This window comes from Homo sapiens, chromosome 6 (genome assembly GCF_000001405.40).
Source record: "Homo sapiens chromosome 6, GRCh38.p14 Primary Assembly".
NCBI lineage: Eukaryota > Metazoa > Chordata > Mammalia > Primates > Hominidae > Homo > Homo sapiens.
This window is the reverse complement of record NC_000006.12, coordinates 138887948-138910609: the sequence shown is the minus strand read 5'-3', so window position 1 is coordinate 138910609 and position 22662 is coordinate 138887948. Positions and strand designations below refer to the sequence as shown.

The 22662-nt window shown below is 38.7% G+C and overlaps 2 protein-coding genes and 1 long non-coding RNA gene across 27 annotated transcripts in view; 2 read left to right on the top strand and 1 right to left on the bottom strand.

Moving 5' to 3' along the window:
* The window catches only part of REPS1 (RALBP1 associated Eps domain containing 1), an 84761-nt gene extending 77644 nt beyond the window's left edge, over positions 1-7117 (top strand). For 11 of the 19 annotated variants that reach the window (NM_001286612.2, XM_005267179.5, NM_001128617.3 and 8 more), the window contains 3 exons: positions 1794-1942; positions 3010-3115; positions 5478-7117. In NM_001286612.2, coding sequence (NP_001273541.1) covers positions 1794-1942; positions 3010-3115; positions 5478-5546 — 324 coding nt within the window. In that variant the 3' untranslated portion in view covers positions 5547-7117. The remainder of the gene's footprint in view (positions 1-1793; positions 1943-3009; positions 3116-5477) is intronic. The other 8 variants (XM_047419432.1, XM_047419431.1, XM_047419429.1 and 5 more) reach the window with 1 other exon arrangement.
* ECT2L (epithelial cell transforming 2 like) overlaps positions 6540-22662 on the bottom strand; it is a 107984-nt gene continuing 91861 nt past the window's right edge. For all 7 annotated transcript variants that reach the window (XM_017010828.2, XM_006715472.4, NM_001077706.3 and 4 more), the window contains 3 exons: positions 21579-21667; positions 9490-9662; positions 6540-8110 (listed from right to left, as the gene is read on the bottom strand). In XM_017010828.2, the coding sequence (XP_016866317.1) occupies positions 7983-8110; positions 9490-9662; positions 21579-21667 (390 nt within the window). In that variant the 3' untranslated portion in view covers positions 6540-7982. The remainder of the gene's footprint in view (positions 8111-9489; positions 9663-21578; positions 21668-22662) is intronic.
* LOC107986650 (uncharacterized) lies at positions 14980-21735 on the top strand. The gene is made up of 2 exons (XR_001744381.2): positions 14980-15256; positions 19575-21735. It is a non-coding gene; the product is annotated as an uncharacterized LOC107986650 (long non-coding RNA).

The window sequence follows — 22662 nt, the reverse complement described above, 5'->3', positions numbered from 1 at the left end:
GTCCAAGGCAGGCGGATCACTTGAACTCAGGAGTTTGAGACCAGCCTGGGCAATGTGGCGAAACCCCGTCTCTACAAAAAGTACAAATATTAGCCGTGTGTGGTGGTATGCGCCTATAGTCCCAGCTACTTGGCAGGCTGAAGTGGGGGGATCGCTTGAGCCTGGGAGGTGGAGGTTGCTGTGAGCTGAGATAGTGCCCTACACTCCACCCTGGGTGACAGAGTGAGACCCTGTCTCAAAAAAAGAAAAGAGGTTTATTTTGCCTCATGGTTCTGCATGCTGTACAGAAAGCATGGTACCAGCATCTGCTTCTTGTGAAGCCTCAGGAAACTTAGAATCATGGCAGAAGGCAAAGTGGGAGCCGGTGTGTCACATGGTGAGTGAGGGAGCAAGGAGAGATGCCAGGCTCTTTAAACAGCCAGCTCTCATGTGAACTCAAGAGTAAGAACTCATTCATTACTGTGAGAAGGGCACCAAGCCATTCACAAGGGATCTATCTCCATGACCCAAACACCTCCCACTAGGCCCACCTCCAACATTAGAGGTCACATTTCACCATGAGATTTGGAGGGGACAAATATCTAAACTATATCAGTGTACTTTAGATTGCAAGTATCAGCACACTTTCCCTTTGAGGGAATAATTTTGGTAACTTTTTTTTTCTGTTATCTAGACATTCCCAATAGTTATAAAAACAGCATGTGTTTCTGAAGTGCTTAAATTCTACTTTCTGGACACTGTGTGTGTATTAGTCTGTTTTCACACTGCTATAAAGATACCACCTGAGACGGTAATTTATAAACAAAAGAGATTTAATTGACTCACAGCTCTGCATGGCTGGGGAGGCCTCAGGAAATTTACATTTATGGCGGAAGGCAAAGGGGAAGCAGGTGGCAGGATAGAAAAAGAGTGAGGAAGTGCCTCACTGTAAAACCATTAGGTCTTGTGAGAACTCCCTCACTCTCATAAGAACAGCATGGGGGACCACCCCCATGACCCAGTCACCTCCCACCAGGCCCCTCGCTTGACACATGGGGATTACAATTTGAAGTGAGATCTGGGGACACCGAGCCAAACCATATCACTATGTTTTATTACATTAGTAGTCCTGTGAGTTTTTAAGTAATGAACTTTATTTTTGTCAACTCACAGTAACAAATTAAAAATATCACTTAACTAAAGAGATAGCAGTTGACTATTGTTTTTATTTATTTACAGGTAAATCAAGTTATGGTAAATGCCAAAATGCTGTTTTTTATTCTGCCAAGGGCAGATTCATAATCACCGACAAACTGTCAACTCATTTTCAGAAGTTATAATTACTGTGCATATTAATAATGATGTTTTTGGTTTTTTAAAGAGTTGCCTAGCTTTCCATTACTTTATAATGTTATTTTATTCACTAAGATGAATGTTAGTATTTTTGAGTAAGAAATCCTATGGTGATAATGCATAGATATTTCTGGAGACTGCCTTTGTTTATTGTTGAACAGGTATATATTGATTCTGTATCATATTTATGTTAAAACTGTGAATATTACAGTCTTGCATCAGTATGTTGCTCTAAAAATACTTATATTGCAGGTACATTCATGATTGTGGTGTCAACTAGAAACATCTTTTCTCACTGTAATTTAAGTTAGCTCTTGCCACAAATATATAGATTTAAAGTAGGACAAGTAACTTTCAATTTTCCAAGAGCAAATGGCTTAAAGAAAGCAAATGGTGTTGCAAAGTGCTAACTATGAATGTCTTCAAAAATGCTTATTATTAATGGAATTCTTGTCTTAAAGAGCAAAGGCACAACACCACTTGCTCCACCACCTAAACCTGTTCGAAGAAGATTAAAATCAGAAGATGAATTAAGGCCAGAAGTTGATGAACATACACAAAAGACGGGTGTCTTAGCTGCTGTTCTTGCATCACAACCTTCTATTCCCAGGTAATCAAAGCTATTCCTAGACACATTTAATTACTAGGAAGAAAAAGCACGACAATTAAAAGTAATCAAACTGGCCCAGGCGTGGTGGCTCACACCTGTAATCCCAGCATTTTGGGAGGCTGAGCTGGGCAGATCATTTGTGGTCAGGAGTTAGACCAGCCTGACCAACATGGTGAAACCCCATCTCTGCTAAAAATACAAAAAAATTAGCCGGGTGTGGTGGTACACACCTGTAGTCCCAGCTACTCGGGAAGCTGAGGTAGGAGAATTGCTTGAACCCAGGAGGCGGAGGTTGCAGTGAGCCGAGGTGGCACCACTGCACTCCAGCCTGGGCAACAGAGCAAGACTTCATCTCACAAATAATAATAATAACAATAATCAGACTGAAGTAAATTATGGTCAGACTAGTTCTTTAATTGAGCAGAGCCTCCTCATGTACGGGTAGGTATTCTTCCCATGTTTCCCCCTTTATTAAGTTGAATTCAATGCCATTTTAACACCCTGTTTTCAAACCCCGTAGCAGTACATTTTTTAAACTTGATAGTTTATAGTAAAACTGGTATTTTAATTATGGTGTTCTAGACCAGGAATCAGCAGATTAAGTCTTAATGGGCCAAATTCAGCCTATGGCCTGTTTTTGTATAGCCCATGAGCTAAGAATGACTTTTTCTTTTTTGTAGAAGAGAGAAGAAAAAATAGAAGAGAAAAGAAAACAAAAAACTAGAATATGAGACAGAAACTCTTTGGCCCACAAAGCCTGAAATTATTTACTATCTGGTTTTTTACAGAAAAGGTTTGCCAGTACCTACTTTAGACTCTTTTACTTAAATTCAGGTGATTCTACAGAAGAAGAATTTTTTTAATAATTTCTTTTTTTTTTTTTAACCTTTCCTATAGTGCTGAAGCTTATATACTACTGCAACTGAGCAAGTGAGGTTGAGCTGTGCTAGTAAGGAAAAAGATGCTCTTTTTGCTTCTCATGTTTAGAAATAGATCAGGAAGGAATAGAGAGGATTTAAGATAAGAAATGAAGGTTATGGGTTTTTTTGCCTTCTTTATCTTCTCAGATCTGTTGGGAAAGATAAGAAAGCTATTCAGGCATCAATTAGACGTAATAAGGAAACCAACACCGTTTTGGCCAGATTGAATAGCGAATTGCAGCAACAATTAAAGGTAATATAGTTTCTGAATCTTTATAATGTTCCTTATCTTAGTAAAGAAACCTAAAGAGAAGGAATGTGACCTCAGATACCTCCAAGATCACATATATGGTTCTCTTCTCTAATTTTCTAGATGCTTTGACTGTGGTTAGTTAACCCCTCCCCGCCACACACACACACACACACACACACACTTTTTTTTTTTTTTTTAAAGAGACACGATCTCGCTCTATCACCCTGGCAACCTGGGCTCAAGCTATCCTCCCACTTCAGCCTCCTGAGTAGCTGGGATTACAGGCGTGAGCCACTGCACCCAGGTCCTAGTTTGTCCTTTTATCAAAGACAACTCAGATTCCATTAAAGGGACTTAAACAGGTCTAAAGAAGAAGAGAAGTGGCAGCAATTTCAGTCATCTTGCATGTGGAAAGAGAAAAGGCAAGCCTTAAATAGAAATGCTGCTTATGCAGTGTGTATACTGTCACCTAATACCTGAGAGGAATGTGTTTGTTTTCTAGTAACTATAATTTCTTTGCATCCCTAGAAATAAAAATTACTCTTACTTACTCCTTCTTTATTGAGTCAAAAAAAAAAATTACTCCCAGAATTGCTTATGGTTCCCCAACATTATTAGGTACTCATGTCTTACAAACCAGTGGTTCTCAAACCTTAAGGCATATACAGGTAATCTTGGGTCATGTTAAAATGAAGATTCTGGTTTTTGTAGAGCTAAGGTGGGACCTGGGAATTCTGCATTTCTCCTAAGCTTCCAGGCAGTGGAGATGCTGGAGCACTGTTGGCCCCACTTGGAATAGAACAAAGATGAGATGAGAGTCCATGGAAATGAAAAATGAATGCAGTTAGTTCATTCTCCTAACATTCTGTTCATGCTCCTCATTTAGCATTTATTACACTGTCCTGGAATTATTATCTGTGACACATTTGTCTCTCTGTCCTACTACAGTGAACTCATTGAGGGTAAATCATAATCATTTCTGTTTAGGAAGACCACGTAATATACCATCCAAATCGAGACACTTTTGAGAGGAAAAAAAGAGGGTGGTATTACTATCATTTAGGCCAAGACACTGGGTATAAACTGGGATTGTCCTAGATAAACTTATGACCGTCTTGTCCCTCTCCTCGAAACCTAGTATGTTAGGCATTTTTTAATGTCTGTTGAATGAATGATATAAACTTATGGCCACTTTGTGTCTATCCCCAAAACCTAGATCATATTTTAGGCATTTGATAAACATCTACTGAATGAATGATATTGTTGTATAACTCTATGATCAGAGGAGAAGACATTTGTAGTTATATGATTATTAATTTAGTCCATCGTACAGGAAGAATGAACTTAAAGACAAGCTTAGTAGTATAATACCATGAAGATGAAAATTTTGTTAATGCATGTTTTTCTGAACCAGGGAAGACCATTGAAACAAGTATATAGAAGCTATTTTGAAAAATTACTTTTTTCCTTACTTCTGAGAACAGAAAATGGGAAGTAAGGTACAAAATAGAGGTAGTTCTGGTTAAAACACAATACTGTCAATTTGAAAGAGAAAAATAGGAAAGTAAGTAAGTTAGAATATGGTGGCTAACTGAAAAGACTGCCTAAAATCAACATTGATTAAAAATTCTGAATGCAAAGTTATTCTTTGGGAAACTAAAGCTCAAAATGAGATCTAGGAGTTGATATAGCCAGATGTCATCACTAGGGAAAAGAAGCTACATTAACAAATTCATCTACCAGGGGGCGGGTTTATTGCAAAATTCAGGTGTTAATACCCATTGTTGCAAACAGTGACTTTTCTAAAAACTAGACATTCTATTTCCCTGATTTGTGTAATAAGAAAATGTTTGAAATTACTAGGATCTTATTTTAATATTAAACATATAAAGAGACTACATTTCAGCCGGGCGCGGTGGCTCACGCCTGTAATCCCAGCACTTTGGGAGGCCGAGGCGGGTGGATCATGAGGTCAGGAGATCGAGACCATCCTGGCTAACAAGGTGAAACCCCGTCTCTACTAAAAATACAAAAAATTAGCCGGGCGCGGTGGCGGGCGCCTGTAGTCCCAGCTACTCGGGAGGCTGAGGCAGGAGAATGGCGTGAACCCGGGAAGCGGAGCTTGCAGTGAGCCGAGATTGCGCCATTGCAGTCCGCAGTCCGGCCTGGGCGACAGAGCGAGACTCCGTCTCAAAAAAAAGAAACTACATTTCTAAAGTGAAGTATACTTTTAAAATATGAATAAGCTCTCCCTTAGTTGTCTTGACAAATTTAAATTGTTTTCTTGAAGCAGAGCTGTTGTTAGATATTTCTTCATTTTTATATACTTTGAAACATAACTTGGCCTTTGCATCTTTTTCAGGATGTTCTTGAGGAGAGAATTTCCCTGGAAGTTCAACTGGAACAACTTCGACCATTCTCTCACCTATAAGCCAATTGCCGTTAACTGTGAACATACTTGTTTTTAAGTGGTTTTGGGTTCAAAGCCAATTTGGAGACCTAGACATTCAGCTCACTGCTTAACTCAACATTAAATTTTATGATTCTGTTTTGCCCTATATGTTCACCGTTGTATTTAAGTATCTTTTATTTTTTAATTTCGACAATAAAAAGGTCAGGATGGCGTTTTCTGGAGGGTAGATTGTGTTTGTTGGCACACCCACCTTTTCTGTTCCCTAGCATCTGGGATATGCAATGCTTCTATGGCTAATACCACACACCAATTTAATTTATAGAATGGGCTCCTCATTTACATCTCAGTCACAGACTCAGAAATAAATTGTCAGTTTGTCCTTTTATGTTTAATATTTTACATAAAGCATCTATTCTATAAAAATCTTTAGAAAGAGTTTCCCATTTAATTTTGATTTTAAAGAATTATATTGGATAAGGTGGTTTTCACCATAAGCTAATTTACTCTCTGCAGCCGTCTACATTCTTCACAAATCATGTGGTACATTGAAGCCTCTTTTACATGTCAACTTGTGACAAATACAAACATGTGAGATTTTATATTTTCCTTGTGGAAATGTGATCAACTTCATCAGCGACTTCGAACTATTTTATGAGATTCAATAATTCAGCAGTCATGTAAACTTATGAAATAGGTATGAGTAATGGCCTTTCTTAATTTTTTTAAGTATTGTTTTAAAACTTCTGAGGATATCAGTTATTCCCAGAATAAAGGGAAATTCCTTAGGATTTCTAGTTTACCTTTAGCCATCTTGTCACTCATTCTTTTGCTATACAGACAAGTTTTTCCTATTAATGAGTTTCTGGAGTATGCCTTATTCAGGACAATATGCTGTTTTAGATTTTGTTTAATATTAAATGATATATACATTTCGATCCATTGCTAACAGCAGATATTCCCTTTAAGATTTATTCTGTCTATAGGATCATAGATTTTAAACTGCATGGATATATCTTGGCAGAATCAGAAGTGTGGTTTTACACCAATAAAACAGCATAATATTTTAACTTTTGTTCATCTTTTTAACAAGATTTAAAGTTTTAAGAAATAGAAGATTTTGTATTTTCATTTCTGAAAGAAAAAATGTTTAAATACTATAGATTCACAGTCCTAAACTGCACCGATAGACTTTGTTACTGTAAACAAGAATTTGAAGAACAAGGGAAACTGACAACCTCAAGCTTCCAAGATTAATACAATTTTTACCTGACAATATCTAGGTAAAAATATACATCAGCTGAAGTTTCCAAGTGGCTTTCAGTATGGCTTTAGTTGTTAAATAATAAATTTAAAGCATTAAAGGCCCAGGAAACTACTCAACACCTGTTTTTCTGAGTGTCTTTGTTTTCAAAGAAACATTTTTACTCAGCTGTATTTCATTACAAGCAAGTTTTGCTGTTTCCATTTAGTTTTGTTTTTTAAAATATGCTTTTTAAAAATAGCCTTCTAATTTAACAATGTCAAAAATATTTGTTAAAGCTTCTTAGAATTTAGCCTTCCAATAAATAACACTTAAAAATTATAGAAAACTTTTTAGTACTTTGTAGTGGTATATCTTTAATGCTCTCTAGAGGAGTACATTCATACTAAGGATAAGTGTGACAAGTTTTTGAGTAAATTGCCATTTGTATTTCTTGTCCTTTTTTTTTTCTTTTTTTTTTGAGACAGAGGTTCGCTCTTGTCACCCAGGCTGAAGTGCAATGGAGCCATCTCAGCTTACTACAACCTCCGACTCCCGGGTACAAGTGATTCTTCTCCTGCCTCAGCGTCGCAAGTAGCAGGGACTACAGGCGTGTGCCACCATGCCTGGCTAATTTTGTATTTTTAGTAGAGACGGGGTTTCTCCATGTTGGTGAGGCTGGTCTCAAACTCCTGACCTCAGGTAATCTGCCACCTCAGCCTCCCAAAGTGCTGGGATTACAGGCGTGAGTCATCATGCCCAGCCCTCTTATCCATATTTTAAATCAATAATTGTTTCATGAAAATGTTAAAAATGGTAAATCACCAACAAATTAAAATATCTTTCTAGACTGATCACTTAAGAAACACTTTCATTCTGCTTTTTTCATTAGATCATAAAACAAAGCTTTACACAATGTGCTTGCTCTGTCTTAGGTTTCATCACATCAAATTACTCTAAATAATATTATCCATGAAATACAGCTACCAAAAGAAGTAGTTCAAAATTTTGGACTCAAAATGTACTTATACATTCTACATAAGTGAGCACAAGTGATAAAGTTTAAAAGTTGGAAAGATCCTATGGGTCATCTTAGTTTATCTCATCATCCATGACAGTTATTCTGTTTCTTACTGGATATTTTGGAACAGAAAATACATGTTGTCTGTCTTTGCTGGGGAGAATTGGCACCCCTGAAGTTTTCAAGTTCGGTCTCACTTCTCCATACTGCTTTTGATTGCATTTCGAAGTACTGACAGCCATAGGAACTTATCATCCTCTATTTCTGTAGCACAAATCCATTTATATTTTGGACCCTGAAGAATAAATGCATTCTTGACATCTGTAAAAGCATTTGAGGTATACTAATTAATCTTTGCAGATAACAATCAAAATGAGAAAAAATGTTAATACTCAAAAATCATCATCTTTAAGAATTTTTTAAAACCTAAAAAGAAATACATATTCAGTGTAGAATATAACTTCCTAAAATTACTGAATAATTCACATGCAGTGTAAAATGATGTCTTTATATTACAGTTATTGTAATTAGCAATTATTTTAAAGACTAACGGATAGATGATGTGATGTTTTTTAATTCCTTGTCTCAATCACTCCAGAAGGAACTGGAATCAGTAACAGTCTTTACTGATAGTTATTATAAATAAAGATGCTAAGAGCTAGACCTAGACGACCTCAGTATGAGAGCCAGTGACAGAATCAAGCCAGCTACTTAGCTGAATGCCCACTGTCTATTAGGTTACTTAACAATGTTTTGACATAGGTCACAGCTGATTGTCATGGTGGGAGGGGAACTGAAGGAGACATGTTTCATACACTAACCATACCCAGTGATGATAGTTAATTAAGCCTTTTTAACCTGAGTTTGTATTCTAGGTGGAAATACTCATTCTTTTCTCAGGCTCAGATTTAGAATGGGGCTAAAGCCACTGGGAAATAGCCCTTTTATTTAGTTTGGTACTTCTGTAAGGTCTTGGGTTCCAACTTTAACCAAAGTCCTGTCTTTACATGCAGTGAAAAACATTGGAATGAGAGATGTTACATTCAGATTGCCTGGCCTAACAGATATAGGAATAAGATACAGATCCTTTTAAGCTTGGGAAGTAAAGTATAGGATAATAACAAAATATGTATAGTGGGTTTAAGTAGGATTTCGTTTTCGTGACAAAATGATATTTCTATTGGAATTACTGTGTGTGAATAATTTACCAAGCATCCTTTGCATATCTGTTGATTCCTTTATTTAACAACTCCTAGCTTAGATGCAAACTTAAGGAAGGAAAGGTAGTGTCAAATATGTAATAATCACTTAGTCCTAGTAGAATGGGAAAGTAATAGATAAAAATTTAAAATATGCTTTAAGACTGTGGCATCTTCAGACAGTATAGAATAGTGGTTGAGAGCTCCAGCTCTCATGTCACTGCTTCAAAGAACGGAAATAGGGGCCTTGCCTCCCTTTGTGATTTTTGAAAGCTGTTTTCCTAATGTCTAAGGTTCATGTCTGAATGCCAGAAGCCCTGTCTTTAACCATTTCAAAAGTAGATGAAAGTTTACATTGTTTAATGAAATTCTAATATTGGGGGAATTGTTTGCAACCTGGTAAATTATAATTCCAGTCCTTTTTCTACTGTTCTGTTAAAGAGCTTTACATTATATAGCTTTTTGAAGGTATCTGTCTCTTGGAAGGAAAAGAATACATACACTTGGAATCTGGAATATTTTCTATGAGTAACCGATGAAGGGCCACTGATGCAATGAACTGGTAGGTTGTTTTTGAAGTCCTCTCAAATGGAGTGTGAGATGTGCCCCGACTAGAAACGAGCAGGGCATCATTGAAGAGGAAAAGGCTGAGATCATGGATGTGTTCATAGAGCCTGTGTTAAAATGGAGAAGGTACAGTTTTAATACATAACATACATGCTTTGTTACATAGTTAAGCATCTTGAAATTGATAAGTCACTAGTCAAGGCTTTTACCCCACTACTGACATTTTGAATGGCTGGTTGAAGTTCTCAGTATAATATTCCTCCTGATGTGATTCGCCCCTCCTGTGTCTCTGAGGTCAGGTCAGTACTGTGGGCCATCAGGGCTCCTGGTGGAGTGCTTTGCGTTTGTCCATGGGACAAGTATTTGATAATCCTTGCGGGAAAAATGAACACTGACTTTCCCTTCTTTATGAAATGAATTACTTTGTATCTGTGTTGTTAGGTACTTTGATGTATTTGGGCAATCTGAAGAAAATAAGTCTTTGTTTTGTTTCACCTTTAAGGATAACAAGGCTGGGCGCGGTGGCTCACGCCTGTAATCCTAGCACTTTGGAGGCCAAGGCAGGCTGATTATGAGGTCAGGAGTTCCAAAACCAGCCTGGCCAACATAGTGAAACCCCGTCTCTACTAAAAATACAAAAATTAGCCATGCATGGTGGCACATGCCTGTAGTCCCACCTACTTGGGAGGCTGAGGCAGGAGAATCACTTGAACCTGGGAGTCAGAGATTGGAATGAGTTGAGATTGCGCCACTGCACTCCAGCCTGGGTGACAGGGCGAGACTCCGCCTCAAAAAAAAAAAGATAATAAGTTGGGGTAGAGAGAAACACAAGAATAAGAACTGATGTGGCATGAGGTGTATTAATAGGAGAAAAAAGCATTTAACTATGTAGAAGTAAATATAAACATTTTTACTTTTGATTGGAAAGCAGTAGATAACCTAATATAGTTCATCAGTTTGAAAGGTAAAAATTAAATAGTTCTTTGTTTTTGCTGAGGTTGCTACCATGGTCAACTGTAGGCATATTTATCAAGGGGCAAAATTTGGTGTCCTCAACCTCCCATCTGTTATCCTCTTTGCTTTTCTGTCATTGGAGCGAGATTGCTGTGTTGGGCAGGCCTCACTGTGCTCTAGTGTGGGTTATTTGTCCTGTGGGAGTGTTCTAGCCGAGCAGTGAGTGGTGATAGCCTGGGAGGAGCTTGGGGAACCCCACCCCACCCTCCCACTCCCCAATTCCCCCTCCCCACCAGGGGTGGCTAAGTGAAGCAAACTAAATGTTTTAATAGAGCATAATTGTTTTCCTTCCAGAAGCATCAAGCAACCCTCAGGAAGTTACTCCAATGAAGAGTCCATATATTTATGCTTGTTCAGGTCTCTTATTTTTCTTCACCATTTTTGTTTAATTTTTAAATTGTCGGAACATAAAGTGTTACAAAACGCTTAAGTGACATCAATCCCTGCTATTGGCTTTTATTTAGTGTACCTCTTTCCCCTCTACTTTTCCACATAGCACAGCCTCACCCCTGTCTTCACTCAGGTCACCCAAGTTATCAACCTAGTACGTATCCTTCCACTGTTTTATACTTGCTCAGGTACACACACACACACACACACAATCTATGTACAGGAAAGGTTATTGCCATTATCTTACAAAAATGCTAAGATTTTCCCTACTCTTTTCTTGCTTTTCTCAATCAGCAATGGAAATCACTTCAAGTTAATGGATAGGACTTTTATTCCTTCTTTTTAATGACTAGTACTTCATGGTGTGGGTGCACCATCATTTATTCAACTCTTCTGCTATTGATGGGTGTTCTCCTTTGATGGACATTTGCTTTGTTTAGAGGCTTGGGTCCCCTCCTTTTTTTCCCTCCCTCTCTCTCTTACTTCATTTTTTTTTTTCTGTATTGCCACTGTGAATGTTGCAACAAACGATTTCTTACATAGAAACAAAGTCCTAATATTTGTTCTTCTGTCAGATACAATTCCTGAGAGTAGGACGGATTGGTCAAAGGCTACACAATAGTCCCCCCTTATTTATGGTTTCCCTTTCTTCAGATAAACCTTTACATAACTGTTACCACTTTATGTCATTATAATTGTTCTATTTTATTAAATATTGTTAATCTCTTATGGTACCTAATTTTTAAACTAAACTTTATCATAAGTATGTATGTATATCAAAAAACGTGATGTTATAGGGATCAGTACTCTGAGGTTTCAGCCATCTACTGGGGGTCTTGAAAGGTATTCTCATGGATAAGGGGGGACTGCTGTGTATATTTTTATCAAAGACCTCCAGGTTGTTCTTCATAAAAGCTGCTATAATTCATATTTATAACTCACTTTATATGGTAATGGCTTTAATTTGCTTCTGATTTACCTGGTGATTTTGTTAAAATGCAAATTCTGATTGAGTAGAGCTAGGGTGGCCTGAGAATTCTGCATTTCTGGCAAGCTCTCTGGTGATGCTGAGTCCACAGATCTGCAGGCCACACTTCAAGGAGCAAGGCACTTCAGTCATTTATTAGTTACAGCTATGCCTAAGAACTGGGCAAAGGACTGGACCAGGTAGTTTAAAAATGTCCAAGAGTACCATGTTTCAGGTTCAGCTACTTGGACAGCGTTAGGAAGTAGGAGTTGTTTTAGGTGTGTGGGTCAATGGAAACATAGTGGTCACCCAGCCACTAGAGCTAGCTCTTTCTTTCAAACATTTTCTTCTTGTCTTTGGTTATGATTTAGGCTGGAAGGAGTGGGGTGCTTCACATTTACTGATACCTTGCAAAAAATATTTCTAGATCGAGTCAATAGGTTATTCTGAGAATAAAGGAATGAATAGAACTAAGGATGAGGGAGAGAGGAAGCAAGAAAGGCAGGAGGTGCATTTTAAGTCTGTGATGGGCAGTCTGTGGTGAGTAGCCATTTTGAATAGGCAAAAGAATTCTACCATGGTCTTGCTTTTTTGGGGGAGAAGGGGAGCAATTTTTTTTTTTTACCATATCCATGATAAGAACAATTATTTCTCCTATCATAGAAGTTTAGAAACTGTTTAAATCTGTAATAAAACTGCTGTATCCGAATTATCAGGAAATATGCCAACAGAGTGCTTTGAAGAAGCAGCATTCAAAGAGGTACTTGCTTTGGTAAATTGATGTTCAGTTTTTTCCTTTGGAAGGGACAATGCCGATATTAGAGGTGAATGAAAGAGAATTCCAGTTTTGTGACCCACTTGGACCAGGTGGATGGTTGGCCCAGGGAAGGGATGGAGCAGCCACACTAACTTGAGCTTAGAATTGAGCCTTTCGTAATCCAAGGACATGAGTGAGGGAAAGAAACACACAATGAGGTTATTATTTCAGTCTGATTCTGAGAGGGCTATTTTATATATAATTTTTATCTAGAAAAACTTTTCAAAAGCCATTTACTAAATTAAGCCCCTCAAGATCTCCAACAATGTTTATCCACAGACCAAACACCAAAAACTCTAAAAGTTTAACCGTAAATACGGTTAAACTAAATACGCAAAAGCAGATACAGTCATCCCTTGATATCCATGGGGAATGTGTTCCAGGACCTCCTGCGAAAACCAAAATCTGAGGATGCTTGGTATTTGCATATAATCTGCATATTCTCTCTAGGTTACTTATGATATCTAATACAATGTAAACACTATGTGAATACTTATACTGTATGAGGTTTTTATTTGTTTTTTTAATTGTATTTATTTATTTTTTAATGTTTTCCATCCTCAGTTGAACCCATGGGTGTGGGGCCTGCAGATATGGCTGTAATTTCATCTTTAGTATTGACATAATGGAGCAGCTGCAGTGGCTCCTAGTGTTTCAGAAATCTGCCTCTGCTCACACTCAGAACCAACTCCAATGGTGGGTTTTGTTCTGAACTTGAATAGAGTTTCTTTGCTTATTTACAGATAGATTCAGTGATTCAGCAAAATGGAACACAGCTACTATAATGTACATTCTTAACTCCATTCTAGAAGTGTTTTGTTATTGTTGTTAAACTACTGTATTAGCCAGCACAAGAGACACAGAGAAAGGCAGGAAGTACCCAACTTGTATAAATACATAAAACTTTAAAAGAAAGTTTTAGGCCAGGTGCGGTGGCTCACACCTGTAATCCCAGCACTTTGGGAGGCCGAGGTGGGCAGATCACAGAGTCAGGAGTTTGAGACTAGCCTGGCCAACATGGCGAAACCCCGTCTCTACTAAAAATACAAAAATGAGCCAGGTGTGGTGGTGCACACCTATAGTCCCAGCTACTTGGGAGGCTGAGGCAGGAGAATCGCTTGAACCCAGGAGGCGGAGGTTGCAGTGAGCCGAGATCACGCCATTGCACTCCAGCCTGGGCAACAAGAATGAAACTCTCTCAAAAAGAGAGTTTCAGTACATGGAGAGTTTCAGTACATGGACAACAGCAGGTCATCAGCACCACTGTGAGCTGACCTGAGTCAAAACTGATTATCACCTAGCCTGGTGGATCACAGTGGCGTTTGGGGTCCCCAAAATGAGTCAATTCTGGACCAAAGTCTAGTATCCTTGAGAAGCCTGGGTACATTTTCTCTGTTGCATAGTTACCCTGCTAAGTGACTGTAGATCCCTTTGGGGAAAGCTAAGAGGAAAGTTTACAGTGTATCTTTTTGGCAGTATAATAGGATATTTCCCCAAGGAAAATTGGCCTGGGAAGTGGATGGCTCTATTTGATGAACAAGGCCAGGCCTCTATTCACCAGTCCTGCACTGGTGAATAGACCTTTGGCAAGACTCCATTGGAAGAAAAAAAGCATGCTTAAAAATCAGTAAGCTTTGGCCACGTGCAGTGGCTCACGCCTGTAATCCCAGTACTTTGGGAGGCCGAGTTGGGAGGATCATCTGAGCCAAGGAATTCAAGACCAGCCTGGCCAGCATGGGAGGACCCCATCTCATTAAGGAAAAAAAAAAAAAAATTCAGCAATGAAAATCAGTGTTTATGAAAAAAACGATAATACAGAAGTTCCAAGGTACAAAATATATTCTAAAAGCTTAACATACCCAAAATAATGGTCCATGTCCTCAGAGGAACAAATTGCCCTCTGAATTTCCCAGCTCTTAAAATAACTGTGTGACTTCATCTCTATTTTAAATTTCATTTAGGATGCAAACACTTACTCGTTCTTTTTGTGTCATAGTTATTGTTTGTTATTTGTGGCCAGGTGCAGTGGCTCACACATGGCCAGGATGGGTGGATCACTTGAGGCCAGGAGTTCAAGATGAGCCTGGCCAACATGGTGAAACCCATCTCTACTAAAAATACAAAAAAATTAGCTGGGAGTGGTGGCACGCCCCTGTACTTCAAGCTTTTTTGGGAGGCTGAGGCATGAGAATCGCTTGAACCCCGGAGGCAGAGGTTGCAGTGAGCCGAGATCACACCACTGCACTCCAGCCTGGGCAACAGAACGAGACTCTGTCTCAGAAAAAGAAAAATATATATATATATGTTTAGTAATTGTTACTATGTTAGTGAGATTATTATGAGGAAGGCTTGGTTCACCTTTCTACCTTCTGGTCCAATCACTGGAAACGGCACTGCCTGTGCACTGGGAGACCTGGTTCTAAATTCCAGACCAGCACTTATTCTATGACTTTAGGCAACTTAAGCCAGATTGCCCACCCATAACGTGGTTCCTGTCCTACCTGCCTCATCAGGTAATTGTAATTAAATCTATCAAATGAGAGAAGCTAACATATATGGTAAAGAGTAAAGCCTTATATGAGTTGGTACTGTATGTATAAATACAAGCAGAGTATGTTTCCTCTAAGTAAAAATTCCTGGTAGAAATCATGGGGATGGCATTCCTTGGGTTTTATGTGATTTTCTAAAATGACAGAAAACAAGGTTGCAGGCTAAGTATTGTGTGATATCTTTTTGCATTTACCTAATTTCAAAACGTTTTTTTTTCCCCTGTAGAGACGGGGTCCAACTATGTTGCCTAGGCTGGTCTAGAACTCCTGGCCTCAAGTGATCCTCCCACCTCAGCTTCCCAAAGTGCTGGGATTACGGGAATGAGCCACCACACCCAGTCAATTTCAAATATTAATTTGAAATTACATTTAAATTTATTAGCAAATAATATAAATGTAATCACTGAGACAGTGTCGTTGACCTAAAAGGAAGAAGCTGAGGCAAAATCAATATAAGTAGAGTTTATTTGGGCTAAGCTTGGGGACTGCAACCCTGGAGCATAGATTCAGTTACCAGGAATATACACCCCAATTAGTAGCATTTACAAGTGGATTTTTAAAGAAAAAGAAGAGGCAGTTCCAGAGTTACCAAGATTTTATACTAAAATAGCACAAGCTATTGATTGACCATAATTGTTCTTTGTCTACAATTTCCAGTATGTGAAGATAATGGGTGAGGCAGCCCAGGAACAATTGCCCTAGGCAAGCATGGATGGGGAGGTGTGACTGAAGTCCCATACTCATGTCTCTGGGCCTGGTAAATTTTTCATACCTCATACCTCATAGCTCAGAGTAGTGCCTATTTAAATATAAATGTACCTCACAATTAGAGCATAAAATGATTTTGGATTATCCTAAATCTTCAAAGTATTTTCATTTGTCCAAGTACTGTAGACCAAAGTCTAATTTCTGATAATTAGACCTCCAGCTTCCAGTCCACATGTAAAGAGCTTGGAAGTTGTAGGCCGGGTGTGGTGGCTCACTCCTGTAATCCCAGCACTTTGGGAGGCTGAGGCGGGTGGGTCACAAGGTCAAGAGATTGAGACCATCCTGGCCAACATGGTGAAACCCCATCTCTACTAAAAATACAAAACTTAGCTGGGTGTGGTGGCGTGTGCCTGTAATCCCAGCTACTTGGGAGGCTGAGGCAGGAGAATCGCTTGAACCTGGGAGGTGGAGGTTGCAGTGAGCTGAGATTGCGCCACTGCACTCCAGCCTGGCAACAGAGTGAGACTCCGTCTCAAAAAAATAATAATTAAAAAGAAAGAGCTTGGAAGTTGGTAATTCTGTCCTCACAACAACAACAAAAAGCTGAAGAACTCAGAATCAACAGCTTTTTTCCGATCCTTTATAGAATTGAAGTTATCACCCCAAAAGCTGGAATGATAGGCTGCTACAGAGAATCAAAGCTTATCAGAAACAGAAATTGCCTGCATGGAGTAGGGATGCTTGAAGGGTATTGGCTTAATTACTAGAGATAAAGTGTGGACTAGCTTTAGCATTTAATAACTCTGGGCTCACACAATGGTGTGAGTTTTGCCTCTAGGAGCCTGCCAGATTCTTGCAATGAAGAGCTAATAAAAATTTCCTTATTCTGGCTGGGTGCGGTGGCTCACGCCTGTAATCACAGCACTTCGGGAGGCCAAGGCAGATGGATCATTTGAGGTCAGGAGTTCGAGACCAGCCTGGCCAACATGGTAAAACCCCGTCTCTACTAAAAATACAAAAATTAGCCGAGCAGTAACAGCGTGCACCTGTAATCCCAGCTACTCAGGAGGCTGAGGCGGGAGAATCCCTTGAGCCTGAGAGGCAGAGGTTGTGGTGAGCCGAGCTCAGGCCACTGCATTCCAGTCTGGGTGAAAGAGTGAGACCTTGTCTCACAAAAAAAAATAAAAATAAAAAAATATATATATATTCTTACATGGTGGAGAGGAGAAAAGTACCATTTTGAAATATGCCCAGAATATTTTGTTCTTAACAAAGGCCTGACCTCAAGGGAAACTTGTACTAGAACCTAACCAACTGGGACTTTACCAGTGCCTAATCAACCTGGGAGAAGGGAAATACCCAACTCCAGCCACCTCTAACCTTACGTCTCATGTTAGAGGTGGGGAAAAAAAAACAAAAAAAAACAAAAAAAAAACAAAAAAAAACTGAGAAGCACTTGTGAAGGTCACAGTCCAGAAGTAACAGACTCAAAATTGATCATAGAACTATAGAATGTTTCTCCTCTGACATCTTAACTACCACAGCAGTAGGGCTCTGGTATAATAATGGGATTACAGCTAAAATAACTGTAAGGCTCAGACCCTATTTAAGAAGGGGTCTCTAAGGAAACCCAAAGATGATAGGGAGAGAAAAGGACACTGGAGAAAACTGTAGCCTCTGATGCCAAGCTGCAACAAACAGTTAATATGACCTAACTCCCAGCCAGGTAAACATAAAACTTCACACTGAAGACCTGTTTAGTTCCTTTTACCTGACACATCGTGTCTGCTATTCAACAAAAAGTTATAAGCGGTGCTGGCTGGGCATGGTGGCTCACTCCTTTAATCCTAGCACTTTGAGAAGCCAAGGTGGGCAGATCACCTAAGGTCAGGAGTTCGAGACCAGCCTAGCCAATGTGGTGAATCCCATCTCTACTAAAAATACAAAAATTAGCCAGACGTGGTGGCACGTGCCTGTAATCCCAGCTACCTAGAAGCCTGAGGCAGGAGAATTGCTGGAACCCAGGAGGCAGAGGCTGCAGTGAGCCTAGATTGCACCACTGCACTCCAGCCTGGGTGACAGAGTGACACACTCTGTTTCAAAAAAATTATAAGGGGTACTAAGAGGCAAAATACACAGACTGAAGAGACAGGGCAAGCATCAAAACTAGGCTCAGATATAGTAGAGATTTTGGAATTATCAGAGCAGAAACTTAAATATGATTAATATGTTAAGGGCTTTAATGGAAAAAGTAGACAACGTGCAAGAACAGACAGGTAATGTAAGAAGAGAGACCAAAACTCTAAGAAAGAAAAGATAATACCAGAAATAAATATAACAGAAATGAATGCCTTTGGTGGGGTCATTAATACACTGGACACAGCTGAGGAAAGAATCAGTGAGCTTGAAGATATGTCAACAGAAGCTTACCAAGCTGAAAAGCAGAAAAAAGACCAGGGACAAAGTAGGGGTATCGGGTAGGGACCACCAGGGGAAAGAACAGAATATCCAAGTAATAGGGACAGTTACAAAAGGCAAATCATATGCATAATGGGAATACCAGATGAAGAGAGACAGAAGAAATATCTGGAGTAATAATGACTGGAGATTTTACAAAATTACTGACAGCAAACCATAGGTCCAGGAAGCTCAGAGAACACAAAACAGGATTTTAAAAAAAGTCTACATCTAGGCATAATACATTCAGATGTAGAAAATAAAAGAGAAAGTCTTCGTCATTTCAGAGAATACAAAAACATAAACCCACCTTACTGTCAACAAAGAGTCAAACTGTGTAAAATAGATTTATTCTGAGCCAAATATGGGTGACCAGGGCCTGAGTCACAGTCTCAAGAAGTCCTGAGAAAATGTGCCCAAGATGGTTGGGTTACAGCTTGATTTTATACATTTTACGGGGATAGAAGTTACAGGCAAACATCAATCAATATATGTAAGGTATACATTCATTTGATCCAGAAAGATGGGACAGCTTGAATTAGGGGCTTCCAGGTCATGGGGGGGATTCAAAAGATTTTTTGATTGGCAATTGGTTGAAAGAGTTAAGTTTATCTAAAGATCTGGAATCAGTAGAAAGGAGTATCTGGCTTTAGATAAGAGATTGTGGAGACCAGTGTTCTTATGTAGATGAAGCCTCCAGGTAGCAGGCTTCAGGGAGAATAGATGGTAAATGTCTCTTATCAGACCTTAAAAGATAACATACTCTCAGCTGAATCTCTCCTGGATCAGGAAAAGACCTGGAAAGAGGAGATTCTCTACAAAACGGAGATTTTCCCCAAAAGAGATGACTTTGCAGGGCCATTTCAAAACATGTCAAATAAATATATTTTGAGGTAAACTATGATTTATTGCAGGGTCTGCTATCTGCCATGTGATACTATACTAGAGTTGGGTTAGAATTTGGTATCTTACTTCTACAAGGAGTTCATTTTATCAGTCTTAAGATCTCTGTTTCAATGTTAATTTTGGTCAGTTGTGCCTGAATTCTTAAGGGAGGAGAGTATAATGAGGCATATCCAATCCCCCCTTCCTATCATGGCCTGAACTCATTTTTCAGGTTTACTTTGGAATCCCCTTGGCCGAGAGGAGGAGTCCATTCAGTCGATTGGGAGGCCTAGAATTTTATTGTTGGCTTCTATTACCTATAGAGGAAAAAGGATAAAAATTACACTGGACTTCTCTTCAGAAACCATGTAAGTAAGAAGAGTGTGGAATGAAATAAGGAAAGTGTTAAAAGAAAAAACCACCAACCTAGAATTCTGTATCCAGCAAAATTGCCTTCAAACAATAAATTTTTTACACACAAAAAATTTGAGAGAATTCATTGACCCTAGTAGAACATTAAGAAATGTTAAAAGAAGTTCTGCAGAGAGAAGAAAAATGATATAGAAAATCAAACTTATGTAAAGAAAGGAAGAGTGTTTGAGAAGGAATACATGAATGTAGAATAATCTAATAATCAAAAACTGGAATCATCATAGAATGTCTTCTACCAAACCAGTGTGTTTAGAATTGCTGGTTTGGTAGCTAGTTTCTTTCCATCATTGTAGCTGTTTTCTATTGCTACTGACCAAAAAAAAAAAAAAAAAAAAAAAAAAAAGATCAAAGAAAACAAAAATGTCATGACAATGAGAAAAGTGACATATTGTGTGATTTGATTTTCATTTAAGATCTAGTCTAGGTAAGGATGGAGGTGAGGGGACTGATTTCTTCCACCTACCCTGCTACCCTGTGCCTTTGAGGAACATTTGTTGAAATATTCATTGAAATAACAAATCAATTTTTATTACATTTATTGGAGTTGAACAAATTAAAGGAGTTAATTCCCCTCCCTTTGGTTGCTGTTTGCTGAATCACTCTTTGTCATTAATACTGAAAATCAAACTTATGTAAAGAAAGGAAGAATGTTTGAGAATAGAATTTTATTTGATTCTATTAATTATTTTGTTATTTATTTTATTTCTATTTTATTCATAGTTTGATGAACAGTTTTCTAAAGCAGATATCACCACACTATGGCCCACACCTGTTCTTGTAAATGAAGTTTAATTGGAACATAGTCATGTTTGTTCATTTATATCTTGTACTGTTTATGAATAGTGTATTACTTGTTATGTGTTGTGTCATTGATAGAGCTGCTTTTGTTTTACAATAGCAAAGTTGGGTAGTTGCCACAGATATCATTTGGCCAGCAAAATCTGAAATATTTACTATGTGAACCTTTACAGAAAAGTTTGCCCATCCTTGTTCTAAAGGAGTAAAGGGGATACTAATTTATAAAAATTAGCATCCTTCCATCTTTTTTTTCTTACACTACTCTGAGCATTGTGCAAACTAAATACTGTAAGGTCTTTTTAAAAACTGACCTCAATAACTATCTGAGGATAATAAATTGGTCCTCTCTTTCTTACATTTGAGCAGATCATTGGTGTGAAAATCCCACAACACTTGGAGCTTAGCTAAGTAGAAAAGTGGCCGGGTGCAGTGGCTCATGCCTGTAATCCCAGCACTTTGGGAGGCCAAGGCAGGTGGACCACTGGAGATCAAGAGTTTGAGACCAACCTGGCCAACATGGTGAAACCCCATCACTACTAAAAATACAAAAATTAGCTGGGCATGGTGACGGGTGCCTGTAATCTCAGCTACTTGGAAGGCTGACGCAGGAGAATAGCTTGGAGGCGGAGGTTGCTGTGAGCCGAGATTGCGCCACTGCACTCCAGCCTGGGCGGCAGTGAGTGAGACTCCATCTCAAAAAAAAAAAGAAAAAGAAAAAAGAAAAGTGACCAACCTTTAGAATGCCTGCTTATGTGGAGTTTGTGGTCCTGGCAGGGACAATTTATTTCTCCCATTCTATCCAGTAGCTGGCTGGAATGTGAACATGGTGATAAAATACCCTACACTATCTCAGAGGGAGTCCTCTGTAACTTTTCAGTCCAATGCATAGATTCATTTCAAACCTACTGTGTCAGACATTGTACTGAATGCTGGAGCTACAGGATGAGTAAGACAGTCACCTGCTTGGAAGGTGTCCACAGCCTTAGGATAGTTAACTATTGTTTACCTTAAAGAGAAACTTATTTCTTCATCACAGCAATGAAGTTGGGCTACATCTTGTACCCTAATCAGATATCTGTTTACTTCTGATAGAGTCTGTAAAATCAAAAACAAAATTAGAAGTACATATAAATTTTTTTAAATAAAATTACTACTGCAAACCATTTTATATCTCAGAATATGCAAATGTTAACTAAAACACAGTTCAAGTATGAAAAAGTGAATATTTTCACTGTTTATGAAACAGGTTTTCTTAGAAAGACCACAGTATTGACAAAGAAAACTATATTTAAGGGGAAAAAAGTAATCTTTGTCAAAGTTTTAAAACTGCTGACATGATAGTTTTATTTGTAAGTGCTTTCCTAATATCAAAAACAAAGTTGGGGGTTGGGGGATAAGAAGGTAGCTATTAAGAAAAAGAAGTAGGCTGGGCGCGGTGGCTCATGCCTGTAATCCCAGCACTTTGGAAGGCCGAGGTGGGTGGATCACCTGAGGTCAGGAGTTGGAGACCAGCCTGGCCAACATGGTGAAACCCTGTCTCTATTAAAAATACAAAAAAAATTAGCCAGGTGTGGTGGTGCATGCCGGTAGTCCTAGCTACTTGGGAGGCAGGAGAATTGCTTGAACCCTGGAGGCAGAGGTTGCAGTGAGCCGAGATCGTGCCACTGCACTCCAGCCTGGGCAACAGAGTGAGACTCCATCTCAAAAAAAAAAAAAAAAAGAAAAGAAAAAGAAGTGAATGAATTGGTACAGAATAAGAAGTCAAGCCTTTATATTGATCTAGTCATGGGGATGAGCTCTTGGTGTGAACAGTGATCCAGAGAGAGTTTTGTAGACTCTGAGTTTCAAGAATTTGGATCTTTGCAAACCAATCAACCTCAATTATCTTTCCCTACAAAATGTCCAGACCAAAATTATGACAAAACAACTTCATCTTGCTTCCCCAATTTGACTAAATAAAAATAACATTTCTAATCAATTGATACTTTAATTCAACGTAACTCACATCCTGAGCTCCTCTTATGTGCCAGACATGAGAAGGCAAGTAAATCATAGCTCACACATGATGGAGCTCCCAGTTTCATGAATAA